General features: G+C 46.5%; 1 protein-coding gene and 1 pseudogene across 1 annotated transcript, besides 1 other annotated feature; both read left to right on the top strand.

Moving 5' to 3' along the window:
• REXO1L4P (REXO1 like 4, pseudogene) lies at positions 573 to 1708 on the top strand (annotated as a pseudogene).
• LOC124902048 (putative exonuclease GOR) lies at positions 11679 to 13706 on the top strand. The gene has a single exon (XM_047422536.1). The coding sequence runs from the start codon at positions 11679 to 11681 to the stop codon at positions 13704 to 13706; it is 2028 nt and encodes a 675-aa protein (XP_047278492.1).
• Positions 12902 to 13687: an enhancer, noted in NCBI's record as "OCT4-H3K27ac-H3K4me1 hESC enhancer chr8:86802573-86803358 (GRCh37/hg19 assembly coordinates)". NCBI's record gives its function as "activates a minimal SCP1, AML or CMV promoter by ChIP-STARR-seq in naive and primed H9 embryonic stem cells {active_cell/tissue: H9 hESC(naive and primed)}" and the evidence as "EXISTENCE:reporter gene assay evidence [ECO:0000049][PMID:30033119]".

The raw sequence follows: 26668 nt of genomic DNA, 5'->3' as shown, positions 1-26668 counted from the left end.
GTCGTGCTACTTCCCTGCGCAGAGGGGATCGGCCTGCCGCTTGCCAGCCGCCCCAAGGCTGACAGAGAGGCCCTCGGGAGTCCGCATCTCAGCCCCCAGGAAGAGGAAGACGATCGCCCACTCTTCCAGCCCTTGCTTGGTCACAGGTTACACAGATGCCAAGAGAACCCGGGTGGCCAGCAGCAGCCAACGCTCCCGTGGCTCCAAGGTCGGCAGACAGCCAGGGAAGACGCGCAACAGGTCAGGGATGGCATGCAAGACCACCGCCACCACCAGCTCTAAGCGAATCGTCCGTCGTGCATCCTTACCGAGTTTGAGTTTGAAGAAACCCATTATCCTCCGAAGCTCTGGGTGCCAAGTCCCCACCGTCCTCCGCCGAGGCTATCTCCAACTGTTCACCGAAGAGTGTCTCAAGTTCTGCGCCTCCAAGCAGGAGGCCGAGGAGAAGGCGCTGAACGAGGAGAAGGTGGCCTACGACTGCAGCCCCAACAAGAACAGGTACCTGAACGTGGTCCTGAACACCCTCAAGAGACTGAAGGGCCTGACCCCCAGCTCCATGCCCGGCCTCAGCAGGGCCGCCCTGTACAGCCGCCTCCAGGAGTTCCTGCTCACCCAGGACCAGCTCAAGGAGAACGGCTACCCCTTCCCGCACCCCGAGCGGCCCGGAGGCGCCGTCCTCTTCACTGGCCAGGGGAAGGGGCCCGGCGACTCCTCCTGCAGGGTCTGCTGCCGTTGTGGCACCGAGTACCTGGTGTCCTCCTCGGGCCGCTGTGTACGCGACCAGTTGTGTTATTATCACTGGGGGCGGGTCCGCTCGAGCCAGGTGGCTGGAGGCCGGGTTAGCCAGTACACCTGCTGTGCAGCTGCTCCTGGCTCTGTGGGCTGCCAGGTGGCAAAGCAGCACGTGCGGGACGGCCGCAAGGAGAGCCTCGATGGCTTCGTGGAGACCTTCAAGAAAGAGTTGTCCAGAGACGCTTATCCAGGAATCTACGCCTTGGACTGTGAGATGTGCTACACCACGCATGGCCTAGAGCTGACCCGCGTCACCGTGGTGGACGCCGACATGCGAGTGGTGTACGACACCTTCGTCAAGCCCGACAACGAGATCGTGGACTACAACACCAGGTTTTCCGGAGTCACCGAGGCCGACGTCGCCAAGACGAGCATCACGTTGCCCCAAGTCCAAGCCATCCTGCTGAGCTTTTTCAGCGCCCAAACCATCCTCATCGGGCACAGCCTGGAGAGCGACCTGCTGGCCCTGAAGCTCATCCACAGCACCGTGGTGGACACGGCCGTGCTCTTCCCGCACTACCTGGGTTTCCCCTACAAGCGCTCCCTCAGGAATCTCGCGGCCGACTACCTGGCACAGATCATCCAGGACAGCCAGGACGGCCACAACTCCAGCGAGGACGCAAACGCCTGCCTGCAGCTGGTGATGTGGAAGGTCCGACAGCGCGCCCAGATCCAGCCACGCCACCGGTCCGCCTCTCCCGCCGCCCTGGCCTGTCCTTAGCCCCAGGCCTCTTCCAAAACCGCCATCAGTCCCGAGAGCTCACCCTGCCCACCTCGCCGCAAAGCGAAAGAAACTGGAGCAGCCGGCGGCAGGAGAGGGCAAAAAGCCAAGAGTAACCCCAACCCCCCACTCCCGGTCCCCCGGAATCCCTGCCGCGGCCCCTCGGGCCTGTCCACATCCCTCTGCCCCTCCCAGACCTCTGTCCTTCCACCAATCGCCTCCCGCAGCCCCGAGCCGCCACTCCCAGTCCCCCGAGTCCCTGCCGCGCGCCCTCGCGCCTGTCCACATCCCTCTGCCCATCCGAGACCTCTGTCCTTACACCACTAGCCACCCCACGTGGGACTTCCATGGCTTCTGAGTACAAGGCCAGCCCCCCGGCCCACCAGCTTTCGGAATGCCTGCTTACCTCTTTTTCTGTAGAGGCACCACAGGGAGGTGGGTGAAGCACTTCGGCTCTGGAGTTACAGATCTGGGTTCAAGGCCAAATTCCACCACTTACTAGGTTTGTAATATTGGACAGATAACGTCTTTGCGCTTCTACCTTTTGGTCTTTAAAGTGTGATCAAAAGAGACTTAGACTCCCACATAGTAATAATAATAATAATGGCAAACTTAACACCCCACTGTCAACATTAGACACACCAACGAGACAGAAAGTTAAAAAAGGATATCCGGGAATTGAGCTCAGCTCTGCACCAAGCGGACCTAGGAGACATCTACAGAACGCTCCACCCCAAATCAACAGAATATACATTCTTCTCAGCACCACATCACACTTATTTCCACATTGACCACATAGTTGGAAGTAAAGCACTCCTCAGTAAAAGTAAAATTACAGAAATTATTACAAACGGTCTCTCAGACCACATTGCAATCACACTAGACCTCAGGATTGAGAAAGTCACTCAAAACCGCTCAACTGCATGGAAACCGGACAAGCTGCTCCTGAATGAGTACTGGGTACATAACGAAATGAAGGCAGAAATAAAGATATTCTCTGAAAGCAATGAGAACAAAGACACAACATACCAGAATCTCTGGGACACATTTAAAGCAGTGTGTAGAGGGAAATTTATAGCACTAAATGCCCACAAGGGAAAGCAGGAAAGATCAAAAATGCATACCCTAACATCACCATTAAAAGGATGAGAGAAGCAAGAGCAAACACATTCAAAAGCTAGCAGAAGGCAAGAATTAACTAAGATCCGAGCAGAACTGAAGGAGATAGAGACCCAAAAAACCCTTCAAAAAATCAATGAATCCAGGAGCGGGTTTTTTGAAACCATCAACAAAATTGATAGACCACTAGCAAGACTATTAAAGAATGAAAGGAAGAAGAATCAAGCAGATGCAATAAAAAATGATAAAGGGGATATCACCACTGATCCCACAGAAGTACAAACTACCATGAGAGAATACTGTCAACACCTCTAGGCAAACAAACTCGGAAATCTAGAAGAAATGAATAAATTCCTGGACACATGCAACCTCCCCAGAGTAAACCAGGAAGAAGTTGAATGCCTGAATAGACCAATAACAGGCTCTGAAATTGAGGCAATAATTAATAGCCTATCAAGCAATAAAACTCCAGGACCAGACGGATTCACAGCCGAATTCTACCAGAAGTACAAGGAGGAGCTGGTACCATTCCTTCGGAAACTATTCCAATCAACAGAAAAAGAGGGAATCCTCCCTATCTCATTTTATGAGGCCAGCATCATCCTGATCCCAAAGGCTGAGAGAGACACAACCAACAAAGAGAATTTTCGGCCCATATCCCTGAGGAACACCGATGGAAAAATCCTCCATAAAATGCTGGCAAACCGAATCCAGCAGCACATCAAAGAGCTTATCCATTATGATCAAGTGGGCTTCATCCCTGACATGCAAGGCTGGTCCAACATATGCAAATCAATAAACATAATCCAGCATATAATCGGAACCAAAGACAGAAACCGCGTGATTATCTCAACAGATGCAGAAAAGGCCTTTGACAAAATTCAACAGCCTTTCATGCCAAAAACTCTCAATAAATTAGGTACTGATGGGACATACCTCAAAATAATAAGGGCTATTTAGGGCAAACCCACAGCCAATATCATACTGAATGGGCAAAAAGTGGAAGCATTCCCTTTGCAAACTGCCACAAGACAGGGGTGCCCTCTCTCACCACTCCTATTCAACATAGTGTTGGAACTTCTGGCCAGGGCAATCAGGCAGGAGAAAGAAATAAAGAGTAATCAATTAGGAAAAGAGGAAGTCAAATTGTCCCTGTTTGTAGATGACACGATTGAATATTTAGAAAACCCCATCGTCTCAGCCCAAAATCTCCTTAAGCTGATAAGCAACTTCAGCAAAGTCTCAGGATACAAAATCGATGTGCAAAAATCACAAGCATTCTCATACACCAATAACAGGCAAACAGAGAGCCAAATCATGACTGAGCTCCCATTCACAATTGCTTCAAAGAGAATAAAATACTGAGGAATCCAACTAACAAGGGATGCGATGTGCGAAGGACCTCTTCAAGGAGAACTACAAACCACTGCTCCACGAAATAAAAGAGGACACAAACCAATGGAAGAATATTCCATGCTCACGGTTAGGAAGAATCAGTATCGTGAAAATGGCCATACTGCCCAAGGTATATTATAGATCCAATGCCATCCCCATCAAGCTACCAAGGACTTTCTTCACAGAATTGGAAAAAACTACTTGAAAGTTTACATGGAACCACAAAAGGGCCCCCACTGCCAAGATAATCCTAAGCCAAAAGAACAAAGGTGGAGGCATCAAGCTACCCGACTTCAAACTACACTACAAGCCTACAGTAACCAAACAGCATGCTGTTGGTTGCCTTTTTGGTTACTGTAGACCAATGGAACAGAATAGAGCCCTCAGAAATAATACGACACATCTACAACCGTCGGATCTTTGACAAACCTGACAAAAACAAGAAATGGGGAAAGGATTCCCTATTTAATAAATGGTGCTGGGAAAACTGGCTAGCCATATGTCCGAAGGTGAAATTGGATCCCTTCCTTACACCTTATGCAAAAGTTTATTCAAGACGGATGAAAGACTTAAATGTTACATCTTAAGCCATACAAACCCTAGGAGAAAACCTAGGCAATACCATTCAGGACATAGGCATGGGCAAGGACCTCATGTCTAAAACGCCAAAAGCAAAGGCAACAAAAGCCAATATTGACAAACGGCATCTAATTACACTAAAGAGTTTCTGCACAGCTAAAGAAACTCCCATCAGAGTGAACAGGCATGCTACAGAAAGGGAGAAAATTTTTGCAATCTACTCATCTGACAAAGGGCTAATATCCAGAATCTACTAAGAACTCAAACAGAGTTACAAGAAAATCCAAACAACCCCATCAACAAGTGCGGGAAGGATATGAAGAGACACTTCTAAAAAGAAGACATTTATGCAGCCAACAGACACATGAAAAAATGCTCATCAACACTGGTCATCAGAGAAATGCAAATCAAATCCGCAAAGAGATATCGTCTCACACCAGTTACAATAGCGATCAATAAAAAAGTCAAGAAACAACAGGTGCTGGAGAGGTAGTGGAGAAATAGGGACACTTTTACACTGCTGGTGGGACTGTAAACCAGTTCAGCGGTTGTGGAAGATAGTGTGGCGAATCCTCAAGGATCTAGAATTAGAAATACCATTTGACCCAGCCGTCCCATTACTGGGTATACACCCATAGGACTATAAATCATGCTGCTAAAAGGACACACGCAGACGTATGTTTATTGCGGCACCGTTCACAGTAGCAAAGACTTGGAACCAGCCCAGATGTCCATCAATGATAGACTGGATTAAGGAAACGTGGCACAAATACACCGTGGAATACTATGCAGCCATAAAAAAGCATGTGTTCATGCCCTTCGGAGGGACACGGATGAAGCTGGAAACCATCATTCTTAGCAAACTATCGCAAGGACAAAAAAACCAAACACCGCGTGATCCCACTCATAGGTGGGAATTGAACTAGGAGAACACTTGGACGCAGAAAGGGGAACATCACACACCGGGGCCTGTCATGGGCGGGGGGAGGGGGAGGGATAACATTAAGAGATATACCTAATGTAAATGACTAGTGAATGGGTGCAGCACACCAACATGGCACGTGCTTACATACGTAATAAACCTGCACGTTGTGCACATGTACCCTAGTAATTAAAGTATAATTTAAAAAAAAATGGAAAACGAAAGTGTGATCCTAATGTCATGGTGCGGACTGAATGAAGCAGCACATGGCAAGCCTTAAAACGATCGCACATAGTAGGTGTTCAATTAATGTTAACTATATTTCTTTTCTATAATAGTTTATAAAGGGAATTCATGAACACTATGTGATTAATCCTTGGAACAACCCAACAGGTAGGTAAATAAAGCCTAATTTTATACCTAAAGAAACCATGCGGCTTAACTTGCCCAAAATAATAATGATTGTAATGAGCACTGGCTGTTGGTTTCTTATGTACTTGGTACTTTGCACGTATTAACCCAGTCTGTCCTCCTAACAGTTGTGAGAGAGATAGCATTCTTATCCCCATTTTACAGATGAGGAACCTGAAGCCCAGGTGATAAGTAGTTTATCCAAGGTATCATAGCTAGAAGTCGGGTGCAGGCAGTCTGGCTCCAGAGCCCCTGCTCTGTCCGCTGACCTAGCTGACTTCCCAAGAGTCAAAGTGGATTCTTCCCCAAGACCAACCAATTACAATGACTGAATCAGTCAGTCAACTTCGAACTGGGCTCCAAGAGAGAACGAACCATCATGCCTCTCTAAATCCTCATTTCTAGTTTGAATCTTCAAGGAGAGATAGACACTAAGTAGCTAGTTTTGCTGGAATGGCTGATTTTATCAATGTTTTCGGTGTGTGAGTGTGTGTGTGTGTATATGTATAGAACTAAATTAAACTGATAATTTGAATGCTTACACTTCCATTAGTTCAATTTGTGTATGTGAGCCCTGACACACATACATACACACACACAAACTGTTCCAGAACAGTGACTTAGTGAAAAACTGGATTTCCACTCTGTCAGACAAATTTCGGAAAGCACTGAAGTAGGGCATTTCTGATTGATTTTACCGTTCCCGGAATTTTATTTTCCTTTATCACTTAGACCCTTTCTGTGGGGATTTAATAAATAAACGTCTTTTGTAGTGTATGTTATTTCATTTTATTTTTATAATTTATATGAATTTTAATTTTAACTTGACAAATAAAAATTATATATATTTATGGCATACAACATGATGTTTCATACGTGTATACATTGTGGAATGACAAAATCAAGCTAATTAACACACTCGTTTCCTCACATACTGATTTTAATGTGATGAGGACATGTCTAAAATCTACTCTTATAGCAATTTTCAAGTATACAATACATACTTATACACTGTAGATGCCAGGCTGTTCAATAGATCTCTAGAACCATTCCTCTCTGAAATTTTGTATCATGAGACTATCATCTCTCCAGTCCCTCCCTGACCCCTGCCTCGGGTAACCACCGTTCTGCTCTCTACAGCTATGAGTTGCATTGTTTGAGATTGCACATATAAGTGAGATCATGCAGTATTTGTCTTTTTGTGCTTGCTTTTTAAATTTTATTATGTAATTATTTATTTTTTGAGACAGGGTCTCAGTCTGTCACCCAGGCTGGAGTACAGTGACACAAACACGGCTCACTCACCCACCACGGCCTCCACCTCCCGGGGTCGAGAGTTCCTCCCGCTTCAGCCTCCTGAATAGCTAGGACTACAGGCGTCCAACGCCACACTTGGCTAATTTTTGTGTTTCTTTTAGAGATGGGGTTTCACCATGTTGCCCAGGTTCATCTCCAACTCCTGGGCTCAACGCTTCCACCTGCCTTGGCCTCCCAAAGTACTGGGATTACAGGCATGAGCCACCGTGCCTGGCCTTTGCTTTCTTTCACTCAGTGTACCATCCTCTAGGCTCATTCGTGTTGCCAATGAGATGATTTCTTTCTTTTTTAAGGCTGAATTGTGTTCTATTGGGAATATGTACCGCTTTTCTTTTTATGTTTAATTTTTTTTGGTTTTTTGAGACAGAGTTTCGCTCGCGTCGCCCAGGCTGGAGTGCAGTGGCGTGATTTCGAGTCACTACAACCTCTGCCTCCCAGGTTGAAGTGATTCTCCTGCCTCACCTGAGATTAGAGGCATGTACCGGCATGTCCGGCTAATTTTGTGTTTCTAGTAGAGATGGGGTTTCACCATGTTGGCCAGGCTGGTCTTGAACTCCAACAATTCTAATTCAACTAATTTATTTTATAGAAATATTTATGTGTGAGAAACAATATTTTCAAGAGTCAAAGATTTAAAACTGCTTAATTGTACATCACTAAGTGGCTGGCTAATAAATTATAGTACGTTCATCCTTACGGAAGAATACTTTGCAGCTAAAACAGAACGAAAGAGAGGAAACTCTTCAAAATGTTAACTGGGAATGACGTTCAAGACTTATTGTTAAATAAAACAAATTGAGAAGAAGAGTCGTTTATTGGTACTAAATTTGTGTCAGTAAAAATGGATTCTATACGTGGGATGGTTTATAAGTATGTGGAAAAATTCTTTGATGGTTTTTCCTTGAAAAAGTGAAACCTAAATCCACTCCGTTTGGATGTGGGCCTATTTACGGTTGTTGCTTCCTAAACATAAACTACGTTTAGGCTGATATTTCAGACAATGAAACCTTTCAGTGCCCGTAGCGGGAAGATCTCGGTTGCTGAGTGCAGGGAAGGAGGATGTAATTCCATCATATATACTCTCTGTGCCTACCGCATTTGGAACCATGCGAGTGATACGTATTTATAAAATAACATAAACCAAGCACAAGTACGAACTTAGCAACACTATATTGAGTTAATAGAACGGTATCTTGTATTTCTTCTGTCCAGGTATACTTATAAATGCCTGCAGGGATTTCACCACCTCAGGGTGGAGAGACTCAATGCTTGTGAGGCAATTAGGATGGTGGAATATTGGTGTTACCAGGGAAGGGGGCGGGATGTTTGAAAATGCTATGTTTACTCGTTCTTGGGTTCCAATAAAGGAGAAACAGGGCACAGGAGTCGGAAGGACTAGTGGCAATAGTGATGAAAGGACCTCCTTATCATGCTGGCTATGTTAATTACCCAGGTGTAGGAAGCCATACACTGAGGCGGAAGATCGCAAGTCAGAGTGGCCGGCAGGCACAACCTCCTGGCACACCAGAGGCAGGTCTTCAATACCCACTGGTTTCCCCAACAGGCTGCGTAAGGGACCCTGAGCCACAGTGAGTTGGTCAAATGCTCCTGACAGTGTGGAGAAACCAACAGGCAAAACGTGGGTGCAAAAGTGATGAGACCCCACACTTTACACTCGTGGTGACAATGAAGCTATTAAGTAACAGCTTCTCAACCTATGCTGTTTCCTGTTGGATGCACATAATCCATTTGCACTGCAGACAATTTTAGGATGTGGTTTACAGTAAGGTGGATGGTACCTTATGGCAAAAATCTCTCAGAAATTTATGTGTGGTTTTAAAGTCATTCCAGTCCTAGCACGTTGTGCTTTTCAGAGACGCCATAGCTGTTTTTCCCTTTGTAATATCAAAGCAGTAATATGTTCTCTGGAGGCCTGTTGGGTGAATTTAATGGAATCAAGTTAAGTAGGTGCCAGAACCATTGCTGTTTTCCCTCCATAGCCCTGCCACCCACTGTAAAAAGGTTGATGAGATTACTTAATGATTTCCAATTAAGTTGTATTTCCAAATATCATGATTTCCATTTTAATGTAGTTGGTATGGAGCTCTGTGAGTGTGTGCTTCTTTTATTATGGATCACGTTCAGCTTCTTTTTATTTGCCTCCTAGTCATAATAGTAAAACTCTACTCCTCTACTCCGAGGAGTCCCTACCACCCATCTCATCACTTTCCAGCCCAGCACTCTTCATGCTCATTCATTTAAAGCATTCAACATTGTGTAAATGAATCTTGGAAGGCCAAAGCTACTGAATTTAGCGAATTTGTGGAGGCATTGCCACAAATCAGCCAGGTGAAGTTTCACACAATCGAAGACTGCACAACTCCTAGAAGGCAGCACTATGCTGCAAACCCAGACGGCCACTCTTCTCACCCCTCGTCCGTTTGCTGTTCTGGATAATGAGGTTCAAAAGCAACCTAGGCAACTGCCAAAATAGCTGAAATGGAGAAAGGGCTTCAGGCTGGTGACTAGCAGAGGTCCACCTGACCCCCGTAAGCTGCTGAACAAGTAGGGCTGCCAGAAATGTCCCACTAGGGAATTTGGTAGAGACGAAGACATGCTCACCGGACAAGGGTTCCTCCCAGGATACGCCCGAGCGGAAGAAGCGGGCTCTGAGCCACGCCCTTTCACCCTCCTCTACCCCGCCCTGGGCTGGTGAAGGTGCGCGCCAGGATGTGGACTACTGAGCCCTGAAGAAATAAGTCCTTCCACTTTGACCCCATGGAGGATTGCCTGTGAGGAACTTAAACGAGTCTACCAGTGTCTAGACACGGGGGCAGGTCTGTCCGGCACAGCAGCTCCCTCAAGGAGGAGAAGAGTGAGGAGAAAGGAAACTCAAGTCTCACCATTCTGTCCTGGGAGAGAAGAGGAGGATCTCATCTCTCATCTGTCCAAACAAGGCAAGGAGACTTTCTCTCATCTTTCCAAGCAAGGCAAGGAGACTTTTTATCATTAGGAAACAAAAAGAATTTAGAAGGAATGAAAGCAGCCCGTAAGGTGAATTCCTAAGGACTGCCCATTGAAACTGACAAAATTGCCCTTGTTTGATGAGAGGAATGAGCAGAGCATTGATGTGGTGAACAAGGATCTAGTGAGACTTTCCCAGCATGTTTCTACCAAAGCTTTATCTAAGCTTCTCAGAACACTCTCCTAATAAGCAGATGTTTGGCCTTTCAGAAAGTCAACAAGCAAAATGCCTTGAGTGTCCCAAAACACTGATGCCATGATGTGGGCTCCTGACTGGCCTCCTTTTCCTTTGACTGGACCACTGCCACCTCTTGGTAGCCATCGCTTTCATGATGCTTTGCCTTGGCGATCATATTGGTGAAGCCATGTTCCAACTGCCGCTTACAATTTGTCAGAGGGATGCGTCAGGATCGTGATCCCTCCTGTTTAAAATTTCCACTGATAGCTCTCGTCGTAACTGCAGCTGATCTGGGCACAGTGGTTTTCACAGCCACTGCAGGATTCATCTTCCACATCTTCTCACCTCTTCTTGAAACAAGCTATACATTCGTAAAGAGTTCATTTCTTTGGGGTAGTGTCCTTACAAGCTTTTCTTAAAACGTCAATGATTTCTTCAATCTTCCACCCAAGCTTCACCATAAATTTGATGTTTCCTCTTGCTGCAATTTTCGTGGAATTCATGTTGCTCTGATGGGAGTCCTTTTCAGTGGATGTCTCATCCTTCTTAGTGCCTCAAACTAGATCTAGTTCAGAAAGGTTATCAGAAGTTAGGACAAGTTTATTTTAGTGCAAACCAGTGGAAATCCATGCATAGTTTCTTCACCATGTGCATTTTCTATGAACCTTTGGAAGACCACCTGTGTTGAACATTGCCCAAGTCCTGGGAGAGAAGTGGGTGCGGTCCGCTTCCTGTCCTCAATTTGCCCGCAGCGGCGGAGTGCACAGAGCAGGGAAAGGCAGCCCCAGAGGGATCCCGCCCTCCAGCATGCAGCAGACTGCTGGCCCAGTCCTGGCTCCAAGGAGTGCTGTGTGGGCCCAAGCAAGTTGACCAACCTCCCTGAACCTTAATTTAATCCTAGGTAGCCCAATTCCAGTAGCCATTATAGGACTGCCCTGCAGGGACAGTTACTTAACTCAGGAAAAGCAACCTAGCTCCAAGTTTAGCAACCGGGAGTTCCAGTTGATTCCATTAGCGCACCCCCTGAGGCATTCCCAAGCTGGAGTCTGGTGGAAGATGAGGCTCAGTGTGATTGGACTGAAGCACCAACCTATCAAGGAGAAGTCCCACCCAGTCTGCCCTGTGCCTATATAAAGGCGACAAGTGGCGGCCGCAGCACTCATTGAAGCCGCCAGTTGGGAGAGGAGCAGAGCCAGGCCGGTGCTCCCGAAGGCAGCAAGATGTTGCGAGCCACAGCTCCCTGCTGGTTCCCCCCTGGATACCCAGAAGCTAAGAAGGTGGCCGAGGAGGCGGCCCTGGAGGCAAGCCGCCATTTGGGAGGGGAGCAGAGCCAGGCCGGTGCTCCCGAAGGCAGCAAGATGTTGCGAGCCACAGCTCCCTGCTGGTTCCGCCCTGGATACCCAGAAGCTAAGAAGGTGGCCAAGGAGGCGGCCCCGGAGGCAAGCCGCCATTTGGGAGCGGAGCAGAGCCCGGCCGGTGCTCCCGAAGGCAGCAAGATGTTGCGAGCCACAGCTCCCTGCTGGTTCCCACCTGGATACCCAGAAGCTAAGAAGGTGGCCGAGGAGGCGGCCCTCGAGGCTCCAGAATTCCCACTGCCCTCTCATCAGCCTGCCCAGAGCTTCGGGCTCTGGGTGCCCCAGATGCACAAGCAGGCCTCAGCATTTGTGGACATCCAGGCGGAGCCCCAGAACAGGGGTCCGGCGGTGCCCCCAGCGTGGCCCAAGATGGTGACGGAGTCGTGCTACTTCCCTGCGCAGAGGGGATCGGCCTGCCGCTTGCCAGCCGCCCCAAGGCTGACAGAGAGGCCCTCGGGAGTCCGCATCTCAGCCCCCAGGAAGAGGAAGACGATCGCCCACTCTTCCAGCCCTTGCTTGGTCACAGGTTACACAGATGCCAAGAGAACCCGGGTGGCCAGCAGCAGCCAACGCTCCCGTGGCTCCAAGGTCGGCAGACAGCCAGGGAAGACGCGCAACAGGTCAGGGATGGCATGCAAGACCACCGCCACCACCAGCTCTAAGCGAATCGTCCGTCGTGCATCCTTACCGAGTTTGAGTTTGAAGAAACCCATTATCCTCCGAAGCTCTGGGTGCCAAGTCCCCACCGTCCTCCGCCGAGGCTATCTCCAGCTGTTCACCGAAGAGTGTCTCAAGTTCTGCGCCTCCAAGCAGGAGGCCGAGGAGAAGGCGCTGAACGAGGAGAAGGTGGCCTACGACTGCAGCCCCAACAAGAACAGGTACCTGAACGTGGTCCTGAACACCCTCAAGAGACTGAAGGGCCTGACCCCCAGCTCCATGCCCGGCCTCAGCAGGGCCGCCCTGTACAGCCGCCTCCAGGAGTTCCTGCTCACCCAGGACCAGCTCAAGGAGAACGGCTACCCCTTCCCGCACCCCGAGCGGCCCGGAGGCGCCGTCCTCTTCACTGGCCAGGGGAAGGGGCCCGGCGACTCCTCCTGCAGGGTCTGCTGCCGTTGTGGCACCGAGTACCTGGTGTCCTCCTCGGGCCGCTGTGTACGCGACCAGTTGTGTTATTATCACTGGGGGCGGGTCCGCTCGAGCCAGGTGGCTGGAGGCCGGGTTAGCCAGTACACCTGCTGTGCAGCTGCTCCTGGCTCTGTGGGCTGCCAGGTGGCAAAGCAGCACGTGCGGGACGGCCGCAAGGAGAGCCTCGATGGCTTCGTGGAGACCTTCAAGAAAGAGTTGTCCAGAGACGCTTATCCAGGAATCTACGCCTTGGACTGTGAGATGTGCTACACCACGCATGGCCTAGAGCTGACCCGCGTCACCGTGGTGGACGCCGACATGCGAGTGGTGTACGACACCTTCGTCAAGCCCGACAACGAGATCGTGGACTACAACACCAGGTTTTCCGGAGTCACCGAGGCCGACGTCGCCAAGACGAGCATCACGTTGCCCCAAGTCCAAGCCATCCTGCTGAGCTTTTTCAGCGCCCAAACCATCCTCATCGGGCACAGCCTGGAGAGCGACCTGCTGGCCCTGAAGCTCATCCACAGCACCGTGGTGGACACGGCCGTGCTCTTCCCGCACTACCTGGGTTTCCCCTACAAGCGCTCCCTCAGGAATCTCGCGGCCGACTACCTGGCACAGATCATCCAGGACAGCCAGGACGGCCACAACTCCAGCGAGGACGCAAACGCCTGCCTGCAGCTGGTGATGTGGAAGGTCCGACAGCGCGCCCAGATCCAGCCACGCCACCGGTCCGCCTCTCCCGCCGCCCTGGCCTGTCCTTAGCCCCAGGCCTCTTCCAAAACCGCCATCAGTCCCGAGAGCTCACCCTGCCCACCTCGCCGCAAAGCGAAAGAAACTGGAGCAGCCGGCGGCAGGAGAGGGCAAAAAGCCAAGAGTAACCCCAACCCCCCACTCCCGGTCCCCCGGAATCCCTGCCGCGGCCCCTCGGGCCTGTCCACATCCCTCTGCCCCTCCCAGACCTCTGTCCTTCCACCAATCGCCTCCCGCAGCCCCGAGCCGCCACTCCCAGTCCCCCGAGTCCCTGCCGCGCGCCCTCGCGCCTGTCCACATCCCTCTGCCCATCCGAGACCTCTGTCCTTACACCACTAGCCACCCCACGTGGGACTTCCATGGCTTCTGAGTACAAGGCCAGCCCCCCGGCCCACCAGCTTTCGGAATGCCTGCTTACCTCTTTTTCTGTAGAGGCACCACAGGGAGGTGGGTGAAGCACTTCGGCTCTGGAGTTACAGATCTGGGTTCAAGGCCAAATTCCACCACTTACTAGGTTTGTAATATTGGACAGATAACGTCTTTGCGCTTCTACCTTTTGGTCTTTAAAGTGTGATCAAAAGAGACTTAGACTCCCACATAGTAATAATAATAATAATGGCAAACTTAACACCCCACTGTCAACATTAGACACACCAACGAGACAGAAAGTTAAAAAAGGATATCCGGGAATTGAGCTCAGCTCTGCACCAAGCGGACCTAGGAGACATCTACAGAACGCTCCACCCCAAATCAACAGAATATACATTCTTCTCAGCACCACATCACACTTATTTCCACATTGACCACATAGTTGGAAGTAAAGCACTCCTCAGTAAAAGTAAAATAACAGAAATTATTACAAACGGTCTCTCAGACCACATTGCAATCACACTAGACCTCAGGATTGAGAAACTCACTCAAAACCGCACAACTGCATGGAAACCGGACAAGCTGTTCCTGAATGAGTACTGGGTACATAACGAAATGAAGGCAGAAATAAAGATATTCTCTGAAAGCAATGAGAACAAAGACACAACATACCAGAATCTCTGGGACACATTTAAAGCAGTGTGTAGAGGGAAATTTATAGCACTAAATGCCCACAAGGGAAAGGAGGAAAGATCAAAAATGCATACCCTAACATCACCATTAAAAGGATGAGAGAAGCAAGAGCAAACACATTCAAAAGCTAGCAGAAGGCAAGAAATAACTAAGATCCGAGCAGAATTGAAGGAGATAGAGACCCAAAAAACCCTTCAAAAAATCAATGAATCCAGGAGCGGGTTTTTTGAAACCATCAACAAAATTGATAGACCACTAGCAAGACTATTAAAGAATGAAAGGAAGAAGAATCAAGCAGATGCAATAAAAAATGATAAAGGGGATATCACCACTGATCCCACAGAAGTACAAACTACCATGAGAGAATACTGTCAACACCTCTAGGCAAACAAACTCGGAAATCTAGAAGAAATGAATAAATTCCTGGACACATGCAACCTCCCCAGAGTAAACCAGGAAGAAGTTGAATGCCTGAATAGACCAATAACAGGCTCTGAAATTGAGGCAATAATTAATAGCCTATCAAGCAATAAAACTCCAGGACCAGACGGATTCACAGCCGAATTCTACCAGAAGTACAAGGAGGAGCTGGTACCATTCCTTCGGAAACTATTCCAATCAACAGAAAAAGAGGGAATCCTCCCTATCTCATTTTATGAGGCCAGCATCATCCTGATCCCAAAGGCTGAGAGAGACACAACCAACAAAGAGAATTTTCGGCCCATATCCCTGAGGAACACCGATGGAAAAATCCTCCATAAAATGCTGGCAAACCGAATCCAGCAGCACATCAAAGAGCTTATCCATTATGATCAAGTGGGCTTCATCCCTGACATGCAAGGCTGGTCCAACATATGCAAATCAATAAACATAATCCAGCATATAATCGGAACCAAAGACAGAAACCGCGTGATTATCTCAACAGATGCAGAAAAGGCCTTTGACAAAATTCAACAGCCTTTCATGCCAAAAACTCTCAATAAATTAGGTACTGATGGGACATACCTCAAAATAATAAGGGCTATTTAGGGCAAACCCACAGCCAATATCATACTGAATGGGCAAAAAGTGGAAGCATTCCCTTTGCAAACTGCCACAAGACAGGGGTGCCCTCTCTCACCACTCCTATTCAACATAGTGTTGGAACTTCTGGCCAGGGCAATCAGGCAGGAGAAAGAAATAAAGAGTAATCAATTAGGAAAAGAGGAAGTCAAATTGTCCCTGTTTGTAGATGACATGATTGAATATTTAGAAAAACCCATCGTCTCAGCCCAAAATCTCCTTAAGCTGATAAGCAACTTCAGCAAAGTCTCAGGATACAAAATCGATGTGCAAAAATCACAAGCATTCTTATACACCAATAACAGGCAAACAGAGAGCCAAATCATGACTGAGCTCCCATTCACAATTGCTTCAAAGAGAATAAAATACTGAGGAATCCAACTAACAAGGGATGCGATGTGCGAAGGACCTCTTCAAGGAGAACTACAAACCACTGCTCCACGAAATAAAAGAGGACACAAACCAATGGAAGAATATTCCATGCTCACGGTTAGGAAGAATCAGTATCGTGAAAATGGCCATACTGCCCAAGGTATATTATAGATCCAATGCCATCCCCATCAAGCTACCAAGGACTTTCTTCACAGAATTGGAAAAAACTACTTGAAAGTTTACATGGAACCACAAAAGGGCCCCCACTGCCAAGATAATCCTAAGCCAAAAGAACAAAGTTGGAGGCATCAAGCTACCCGACTTCAAACTACACTACAAGCCTACAGTAACCAAACAGCATGCTGTTGGCTGCCTTTTTGGTTACTGTAGACCAATGGAACAGAATAGAGCCCTCAGAAATAATACGACACATCTACAACCATCGGATCTTTGACAAACCTGACAAAAACAAGAAATGGGGAAAGGATTCCCTATTTAATAAATGGTGCTGGGAAAACTGGCTAGCCATATGTCCGAAGGTGAAATTGGATCCCTTCCTTACACCTTATACAAAAGTTTATTCAAGACGGATGAAAGACTTAAATGTTACATCTTAAGCCATACAAACCCTAGGAGAAAACCTAGGCAATACCATTCAGGACATAGGCATGGGCAAGGACCTCATGTCTAAAACGCCAAAAGCAAAGGCAACAAAAGCCAATATTGACAAACGGCATCTAATTACACTAAAGAGTTTCTGCACAGCTAAAGAAACTCCCATCAGAGTGAACAGGCATGCTACAGAAAGGGAGAAAATTTTTGCAATCTACTCATCTGACAAAGGGCTAATATCCAGAATCTACTAAGAACTCAAACAGAGTTACAAGAAAAACCAAACAACCCCATCAACAAGTGCAGGAAGGATATGAAGAGACACTTCTAAAAAGAAGACATTTATGCAGCCAACAGACACATGAAAAAATGCTCATCAACACTGGTCATCAGAGAAATGCAAATCAAATCCGCAAAGAGATATCGTCTCACACCAGTTAGAATAGCGATCAATAAAAAAGTCAGGAAACAACAGGTGCTGGAGAGGTAGTGGAGAAATAGGGACACTTTTAAACTGCTGGTGGGACTGTAAACCAGTTCAGCGGTTGTGGAAGATAGTGTGGCGAATCCTCAAGGATCTAGAATTAGAAATACCATTTGACCCAGCCGTCCCATTACTGGGTATACACCCATAGGACTATAAATCATGCTGCTAAAAGGACACACGCAGACGTATGTTTATTGCGGCACCGTTCACAGTAGCAAAGACTTGGAACCAGCCCAGATGTCCATCAATGATAGACTGGATTAAGGAAACGTGGCACAAATACACCGTGGAATACTATGCAGCCATAAAAAAGCATGTGTTCATGCCCTTCGGAGGGACACGGATGAAGCTGGAAACCATCATTCTTAGCAAACTATCGCAAGGACAAAAAAACCAAACACCGCGTGATCCCACTCATAGGTGGGAATTGAACTAGGAGAACACTTGGACGCAGAAAGGGGAACATCACACACCGGGGCCTGTCATGGGCGGGGGGAGGGGGAGGGATAACATTAAGAGATATACCTAATGTAAATGACTAGTGAATGGGTGCAGCACACCAACATGGCACGTGCTTACATACGTAATAAACCTGCACGTTGTGCACATGTACCCTAGTAATTAAAGTATAATTTAAAAAAAAATGGAAAACGAAAGTGTGATCCTAATGTCATGGTGCGGACTGAATGAAGCAGCACATGGCAAGCCTTAAAACGATCGCACATAGTAGGTGTTCAATTAATGTTAACTATATTTCTTTTCTATAATAGTTTATAAAGGGAATTCATGAACACTATGTGATTAATCCTTGGAACAACCCAACAGGTAGGTAAATAAAGCCTAATTTTATACCTAAAGAAACCATGCGGCTTAACTTGCCCAAAATAATAATGATTGTAATGAGCACTGGCTGTTGGTTTCTTATGTACTTGGTACTTTGCACGTATTAACCCAGTCAGTCCTCCTAATAGTTGTGAGAGAGATAGCATTCTTATCCCCATTTTACAGATGAGGAACCTGAAGCCCAGGTGATAAGTAGTTTATCCAAGGTATCATAGCTAGAAGTCGGGTGCAGGCAGTCTGGCTCCAGAGCCCCTGCTCTGTCCGCTGACCTAGCTGACTTCCCAAGAGTCAAAGTGGATTCTTCCCCAAGACCAACCAATTACAATGACTGAATCAGTCAGTCAACTTCGAACTGGGCTCCAAGAGAGAACGAACCATCATGCCTCTCTAAATCCTCATTTCTAGTTTGAATCTTCAAGGAGAGATAGACACTAAGTAGCTAGTTTTGCTGGAATGGCTGATTTTATCAATGTTTTCGGTGTGTGAGTGTGTGTGTGTGTATATGTATAGAACTAAATTAAACTGATAATTTGAATGCTTACACTTCCATTAGTTCAATTTGTGTATGTGAGCCCTCACACACATACATACACACACACAAACTGTTCCAGAACAGTGACTTAGTGAAAAACTGGATTTCCACTCTGTCAGACAAATTTCGGAAAGCACTGAAGTAGGGCATTTCTGATTGATTTTACCGTTCCCGGAATTTTATTTTCCTTTATCACTTAGACCCCTTCTGTGGGGATTTAATAAATAAACGTCTTTTGTAGTGTATGTTATTTCATTTTATTTTTATAATTTATATGAATTTTAATTTTAACTTGACAAATAAAAATTATATATATTTATGGCATACAACATGATGTTTCATATGTGTATACATTGTGGAATGACAAAATCAAGCTAATTAACACACTCGTTTCCTCACATACTGATTTTAATGTGATGAGGACATGTCTAAAATCTACTCTTATAGCAATTTTCAAGTATACAATACATACTTATACACTGTAGATGCCAGGCTGTTCAATAGATCTCTAGAACCATTCCTCTCTGAAATTTTGTATCATGAGACTATCATCTCTCCAGTCCCTCCCTGACCCCTGCCTCGGGTAACCACCGTTCTGCTCTCTACAGCTATGAGTTGCATTGTTTGAGATTGCACATATAAGTGAGATCATGCAGTATTTGTCTTTTTGTGCTTGCTTTTTAAATCTTTATTATGTAATTATTTATTTTTTGAGACAGGGTCTCAGTCTGTCACCCAGGCTGGAGTACAGTGACACAAACACGGCTCACTCACCACGGCCTCCACCTCCCGGGGTCGAGAGTTCCTCCCGCTTCAGCCTCCTGAATAGCTAGGACTACAGGCGTCCAACGCCACACTTGGCTAATTTTTGTGTTTCTTTTAGAGATGGGGTTTCACCATGTTGCCCAGGTTCATCTCCAACTCCTGGGCTCAACGCTTCCACCTGCCTTGGCCTCCCAAAGTACTGGGATTACAGGCATGAGCCACCGTGCCTGGCCTTTGCTTTCTTTCACTCAGTGTACCATCCTCTAGGCTCATTCGTGTTGCCAATGAGATGATTTCTTTCTTTTTTAAGGCTGAATTGTGTTCTATTGGGTATATGTACCGCTTTTCTTTTTATGTTTAATTTTTTTTGGTTTTTTGAGACAGAGTTTCGCTCGCGTCGCCCAGGCTGGAGTGCAGTGGCGTGATTTCGAGTCACTACAACCTCTGCCTCCCAGGTTGAAGTGATTCTCCTGCCTCACCTGAGATTAGAGGCATGTACCGGCATGTCCGGCTAATTTTGTGTTTCTAGTAGAGATGGGGTTTCACCATGTTGGCCAGGCTGGTCTTGAACTCCAACAATTCTAATTCAACTAATTTATTTTATAGAAATATTTATGTGTGAGAAACAATATTTTCAAGAGTCAAAGATTTAAAACTGCTTAATTGTACATCACTAAGTGGCTGGCTAATAAATTATAGTACGTTCATCCTTACGGAAGAATACTTTGCAGCTAAAACAGAACGAAAGAGAGGAAACTCTTCAAAATGTTAACTGGGAATGACGTTCAAGACTTATTGTTAAATAAAACAAATTGAGAAGAAGAGTCGTTTATTGGTACTAAATTTGTGTCAGTAAAAATGGATTCTATACGTGGGATGGTTTATAAGTATGTGGAAAAATTCTTTGATGGTTTTTCCTTGAAAAAGTGAAACCTAAATCCACTCCGTTTGGATGTGGGCCCATTTACGGTTGTTGCTTCCTAAACATAAACTACGTTTAGGCTGATATTTCAGACAATGAAACCTTTGAGTGCCTGTAGCGGGAAGATCTCGGTTGCTGAGTGCAGGGAAGGAGGATGTAATTCCATCATATATACTCTCTGTGCCTACCGCATTTGGAACCATGCGAGTGATACCTATTTATAAAATAACATAAACCAAGCAAAAGTACGAACTTAGCAACACTATATTGAGTTAATAGAACGGTATCTTGTATTTCTTCTGTCCAGGTATACTTATAAATGCCTGCAGGGATTTCACCACCTCAGGGTGGAGAGACTGAATGCTTGTGAGGGAATTAGGATGGTGGAATATTGGTGTTACCAGGGAAGGGGGCGGGATGTTTGAAAATGCTATGTTTACTCGTTCTTGGGTTCCAATAAAGGAGAAACAGGGCACAGGAGTCGGAAGGATTAGTGGCAATAGTGATGAAAGGACCTCCTTATCATGCTGGCAATGTTAATTACCCAGGTGTAGGAAGCCATACACTGAGGCGGAAGATCGCAAGTCAGAGTGGCCGGCAGGCACAACCTCCTGGCACACCAGAGGCAGGTCTTCAATACCCACTGGTTTCCCCAACAGGCTGCGTAAGGGACCCTGAGCCACAGTGAGTTGGTCAAATGCTCCTGACAGTGTGGAGAAACCAACAGGCAAAACGTGGGTGCAAAAGTGAGGAGACCCCGCACTTTACACTCGTGGTGACAATGAAGCTATTAAGTAACAGCTTCTCAACCTATGCTGTTTCCTGTTGGATGCACATAATCCATTTGCACTGCAGACAATTTTAGGATGTGGTTTACAGTAAGGTGGATGGTACCTTATGGCAAAAATCTCTCAGAAATTTATGTGTGGTTTTAAAGTCATTCCAGTCCTAGCACGTTGTGCTTTTCAGAGACGCCATAGCTGTTTTTCCCTTTGTAATATCAAAGCAGTAATATGTTCTCTGGAGGCCTGTTGGGTGAATTTAATGGAATCAAGTTAAGTAGGTGCCAGAACCATTGCTGTTTTCCCTCCATAGCCCTGCCACCCACTGTAAAAAGGTTGATGAGATTACTTAATGATTTCCAATTAAGTTGTATTTCCAAATATCATGATTTCCATTTTAATGTAGTTGGTATGGAGCTCTGTGAGTGTGTGCTTCTTTTATTATGGATCACGTTCAGCTTCTTTTTATTTGCCTCCTAGTCATAATAGTAAAACTCTACTCCTCTACTCCGAGGAGTCCCTACCACCCATCTCATCACTTTCCAGCCCAGCACTCTTCATGCTCATTCATTTAAAGCATTCAACATTGTGTAAATGAATCTTGGAAGGCAAAAGCTACTGAATTTAGCGAATTTGTGGAGGCATTGCCACAAATCAGCCAGGTGAAGTTTCACACAATCGAAGACTGCACAACTCCTAGAAGGCAGCACTATGCTGCAAACCCAGACGGCCACTCTTCTCACCCCTCGTCCGTTTGCTGTTCTGGATAATGAGGTTCAAAAGTCACCTAGGCAACTGCCAAAATAGCTGAAATGGAGAAAGGGCTTCAGGCTGGTGACTAGCAGAGGTCCACCTGACCCCCGTAAGCTGCTGAACAAGTAGGGCTGCCAGAAATGTCCCACTAGGGAATTTGGTAGAGACGAAGACATGCTCACCGGACAAGGGTTCCTCCCAGGATACGCCCGAGCGGAAGAAGCGGGCTCTGAGCCACGCCCTTTCACCCTCCTCTACCCCGCCCTGGGCTGGTGAAGGTGCGCGCCAGGATGTGGACTACTGAGCCCTGAAGAAATAAGTCCTTCCACTTTGACCCCATGGAGGATTGCCTGTGAGGAACTTAAACGAGTCTACCAGTGTCTAGACACGGGGGCAGGTCTGTCCGGCACAGCAGCTCCCTCAAGGAGGAGAAGAGTGAGGAGAAAGGAAACTCAAGTCTCACCATTCTGTCCTGGGAGAGAAGAGGAGGATCTCATCTCTCATCTGTCCAAACAAGGCAAGGAGACTTTCTCTCATCTTTCCAAGCAAGGCAAGGAGACTTTTTATCATTAGGAAACAAAAAGAATTTAGAAGGAATGAAAGCAGCCCGTAAGGTGAATTCCTAAGGACTGCCCATTGAAACTGACAAAATTGCCCTTGTTTGATGAGAGGAATGAGCAGAGCATTGATGTGGTGAACAAGGATCTAGTGAGACTTTCCCAGCATGTTTCTACCAAAGCTTTATCTAAGCTTCTCAGAACACTCTCCTAATAAGCAGATGTTTGGCCTTTCAGAAAGTCAACAAGCAAAATGCCTTGAGTGTCCCAAAACACTGATGCCATGATGTGGGCTCCTGACTGGCCTCCTTTTCCTTTGACTGGACCACTGCCACCTCTTGGTAGCCATCGCTTTCATGATGCTTTGCCTTGGCGATCATATTGGTGAAGCCATGTTCCAACTTCCGCTTACAATTTGTCAGAGGGATGCGTCAGGATCGTGATCCCTCCTGTTTAAAATTTCCACTGATAGCTCTCGTCGTAACTGCAGCTGATCTGGGCACAGTGGTTTTCACAGCCACTGCAGGTTGAAGTGATTCTCCTGCCTCACCTGAGATTAGAGGCATGTACCGGCATGTCCGGCTAATTTTGTGTTTCTAGTAGAGATGGGGTTTCACCATGTTGGCCAGGCTGGTCTTGAACTCCAACAATTCTAATTCAACTAATTTATTTTATAGAAATATTTATGTGTGAGAAACAATATTTTCAAGAGTCAAAGATTTAAAACTGCTTAATTGTACATCACTAAGTGGCTGGCTAATAAATTATAGTACGTTCATCCTTACGGAAGAATACTTTGCAGCTAAAACAGAACGAAAGATAGGAAACTCTTCAAAATGTTAACTGGGAATGACGTTCAAGACTTATTGTTAAATAAAACAAATTGAGAAGAAGAGTCGTTTATTGGTACTAAATTTGTGTCAGTAAAAATGGATTCTATACGTGGGATGGTTTATAAGTATGTGGAAAAATTCTTTGATGGTTTTTCCTTGAAAAAGTGAAACCTAAATCCACTCCGTTTGGATGTGGGACTATTTACGGTTGTTGCTTCCTAAACATAAACTACGTTTAGGCTGATATTTCAGACAATGAAACCTTTGAGTGCCCGTAGCGGGATGATCTCGGTTGGTGAGTGCAGGGAAGGAGGATGTAATTCCATCATATATACTCTCTGTGCCTACCGCATTTGGAACCATGCGAGTGATACGTATTTATAAAATAAAATAAAACAAGCACAAGTACGAACTTAGCAACACTATATTGAGTTAATAGAACGGTATCTTGTATTTCTTCTGTCCAGGTATACTTATAAATGCCTGCAGGGATTTCACCACCTCAGGGTGGAGAGACTGAATGCTTGTGAGGGAATTAGGATGGTGGAATATTGGTGTTACCAGGGAAGGGGGCGGGATGTTTGAAAATGCTATGTTTACTCGTTCTTGGGTTCCAATAAAGGAGAAACAGGGCACAGGAGTCGGAAGGACTAGTGGCAATAGTGATGAAAGGACCTCCTTATCATGCTGGCAATGTTAATTACCCAGGTGTAGGAAGCCATACACTGAGGCGGAAGATCACAAGTCAGAGTGGCCGGCAGGCACAACCTCCTGGCACACCAGAGGCAGGTCTTCAATACCCACTGGTTTCCCCAACAGGCTGCGTAAGGGATCCTGAGCCACAGTGAGTTGGTCAAATGCTCCTGACAGTGTGGAGAAACCAACAGGCAAAACGTGGGTGCAAAAGTGATGAGACCCCACACTTTACACTCGTGGTGACAATGAAGCTATTAAGTAACAGCTTCTCAACCTATGCTGTTTCCTGTTGGATGCACATAATCCATTTGCACTGCAGACAATTTTAGGATGTGGTTTACAGTAAGGTGGATGGTACCTTACGGCAAAAATCTCTCAGAAATTTATGTGTGGTTTTAAAGTCATTCCAGTCCTAGCACGTTGTGCTTTTCAGAGACGCCATAGCTGTTTTTCCCTTTGTAATATCAAAGCAGTAATATGTTCTCTGGAGGCCTGTTGGGTGAATTTAATGGAATCAAGTTAAGTAGGTGCCAGAACCATTGCTGTTTTCCCTCCATAGCCCTGCCACCCACTGTAAAAAGGTTGATGAGATTACTTAATGATTTCCAATTAAGTTGTATTTCCAAATATCATGATTTCCATTTTAATGTAGTTGGTATGGAGCTCTGTGAGTGTGTGCTTCTTTTATTATGGATCACGTTCAGCTTCTTTTTATTTGCCTCCTAGTCATAATAGTAAAACTCTACTCCTCTACTCCGAGGAGTCCCTACCACCCATCTCATCACTTTCCAGCCCAGCACTCTTCATGCTCATTCATTTAAAGCATTCAACATTGTGTAAATGAATCTTGGAAGGCAAAAGCTACTGAATTTAGCGAATTTGTGGAGGCATTGCCACAAATCAGCCAGGTGAAGTTTCACACAATCGAAGACTGCACAACTCCTAGAAGGCAGCACTATGCTGCAAACCCAGACGGCCACTCTTCTCACCCCTCGTCCGTTTGCTGTTCTGGATAATGAGGTTCAAAAGTCACCTAGGCAACTGCCAAAATAGCTGAAATGGAGAAAGGGCTTCAGGCTGGTGACTAGCAGAGGTCCACCTGACCCCCGTAAGCTGCTGAACAAGTAGGGCTGCCAGAAATGTCCCACTAGGGAATTTGGTAGAGACGAAGACATGCTCACCGGACAAGGGTTCCTCCCAGGATACGCCCGAGCGGAAGAAGCGGGCTCTGAGCCACGCCCTTTCACCCTCCTCTACCCCGCCCTGGGCTGGTGAAGGTGCGCGCCAGGATGTGGACTACTGAGCCCTGAAGAAATAAGTCCTTCCACTTTGACCCCATGGAGGATTGCCTGTGAGGAACTTAAACGAGTCTACCAGTGTCTAGACACGGGGGCAGGTCTGTCCGGCACAGCAGCTCCCTCAAGGAGGAGAAGAGTGAGGAGAAAGGAAACTCAAGTCTCACCATTCTGTCCTGGGAGAGAAGAGGAGGATCTCATCTCTCATCTGTCCAAACAAGGCAAGGAGACTTTCTCTCATCTTTCCAAGCAAGGCAAGGAGACTTTTTATCATTAGGAAACAAAAAGAATTTAGAAGGAATGAAAGCAGCCCGTAAGGTGAATTCCTAAGGACTGCCCATTGAAACTGACAAAATTGCCCTTGTTTGATGAGAGGAATGAGCAGAGCATTGATGTGGTGAACAAGGATCTAGTGAGACTTTCCCAGCATGTTTCTACCAAAGCTTTATCTAAGCTTCTCAGAACACTCTCCTAATAAGCAGATGTTTGGCCTTTCAGAAAGTCAACAAGCAAAATGCGTTGAGTGTCCCAAAACACTGATGCCATGATGTGGGCTCCTGACTGGCCTCCTTTTCCTTTGACTGGACCACTGCCACCTCTTGGTAGCCATCGCTTTCATGATGCTTTGCCTTGGCGATCATATTGGTGAAGCCATGTTCCAACTGCCGCTTACAATTTGTCAGAGGGATGCGTCAGGATCGTGATCCCTCCTGTTTAAAATTTCCACTGATAGCTCTCGTCGTAACTGCAGCTGATCTGGGCACAGTGGTTTTCACAGCCACTGCAGGATTCATCTTCCACATCTTCTCACCTCTTCTTGAAACAAGCTATACATTCGTAAAGAGTTCATTTCTTTGGGGTAGTGTCCTTACAAGCTTTTCTTAAAACGTCAATGATTTCTTCAATCTTCCACCCAAGCTTCACCATAAATTTGATGTTTCCTCTTGCTGCAATTTTCGTGGAATTCATGTTGCTCTGATGGGAGTCCTTTTCAGTGGATGTCTCATCCTTCTTAGTGCCTCAAACTAGATCTAGTTCAGAAAGGTTATCAGAAGTTAGGACAAGTTTATTTTAGTGCAAACCAGTGGAAATCCATGCATAGTTTCTTCACCATGTGCATTTTCTATGAACCTTTGGAAGACCACCTGTGTTGAACATTGCCCAAGTCCTGGGAGAGAAGTGGGTGCGGTCCGCTTCCTGTCCTCAATTTGCCCGCAGCGGCGGAGTGCACAGAGCAGGGAAAGGCAGCCCCAGAGGGATCCCGCCCTCCAGCATGCAGCAGACTGCTGGCCCAGTCCTGGCTCCAAGGAGTGCTGTGTGGGCCCAAGCAAGTTGACCAACCTCCCTGAACCTTAATTTAATCCTAGGTAGCCCAATTCCAGTAGCCATTATAGGACTGCC

This window comes from Homo sapiens, chromosome 8 (genome assembly GCF_000001405.40).
Source record: "Homo sapiens chromosome 8, GRCh38.p14 Primary Assembly".
Lineage (NCBI taxonomy): Eukaryota > Metazoa > Chordata > Mammalia > Primates > Hominidae > Homo > Homo sapiens.
Note: the sequence above shows the minus strand (reverse complement) of the source record. Positions and strands in the feature narration are given on the sequence as shown.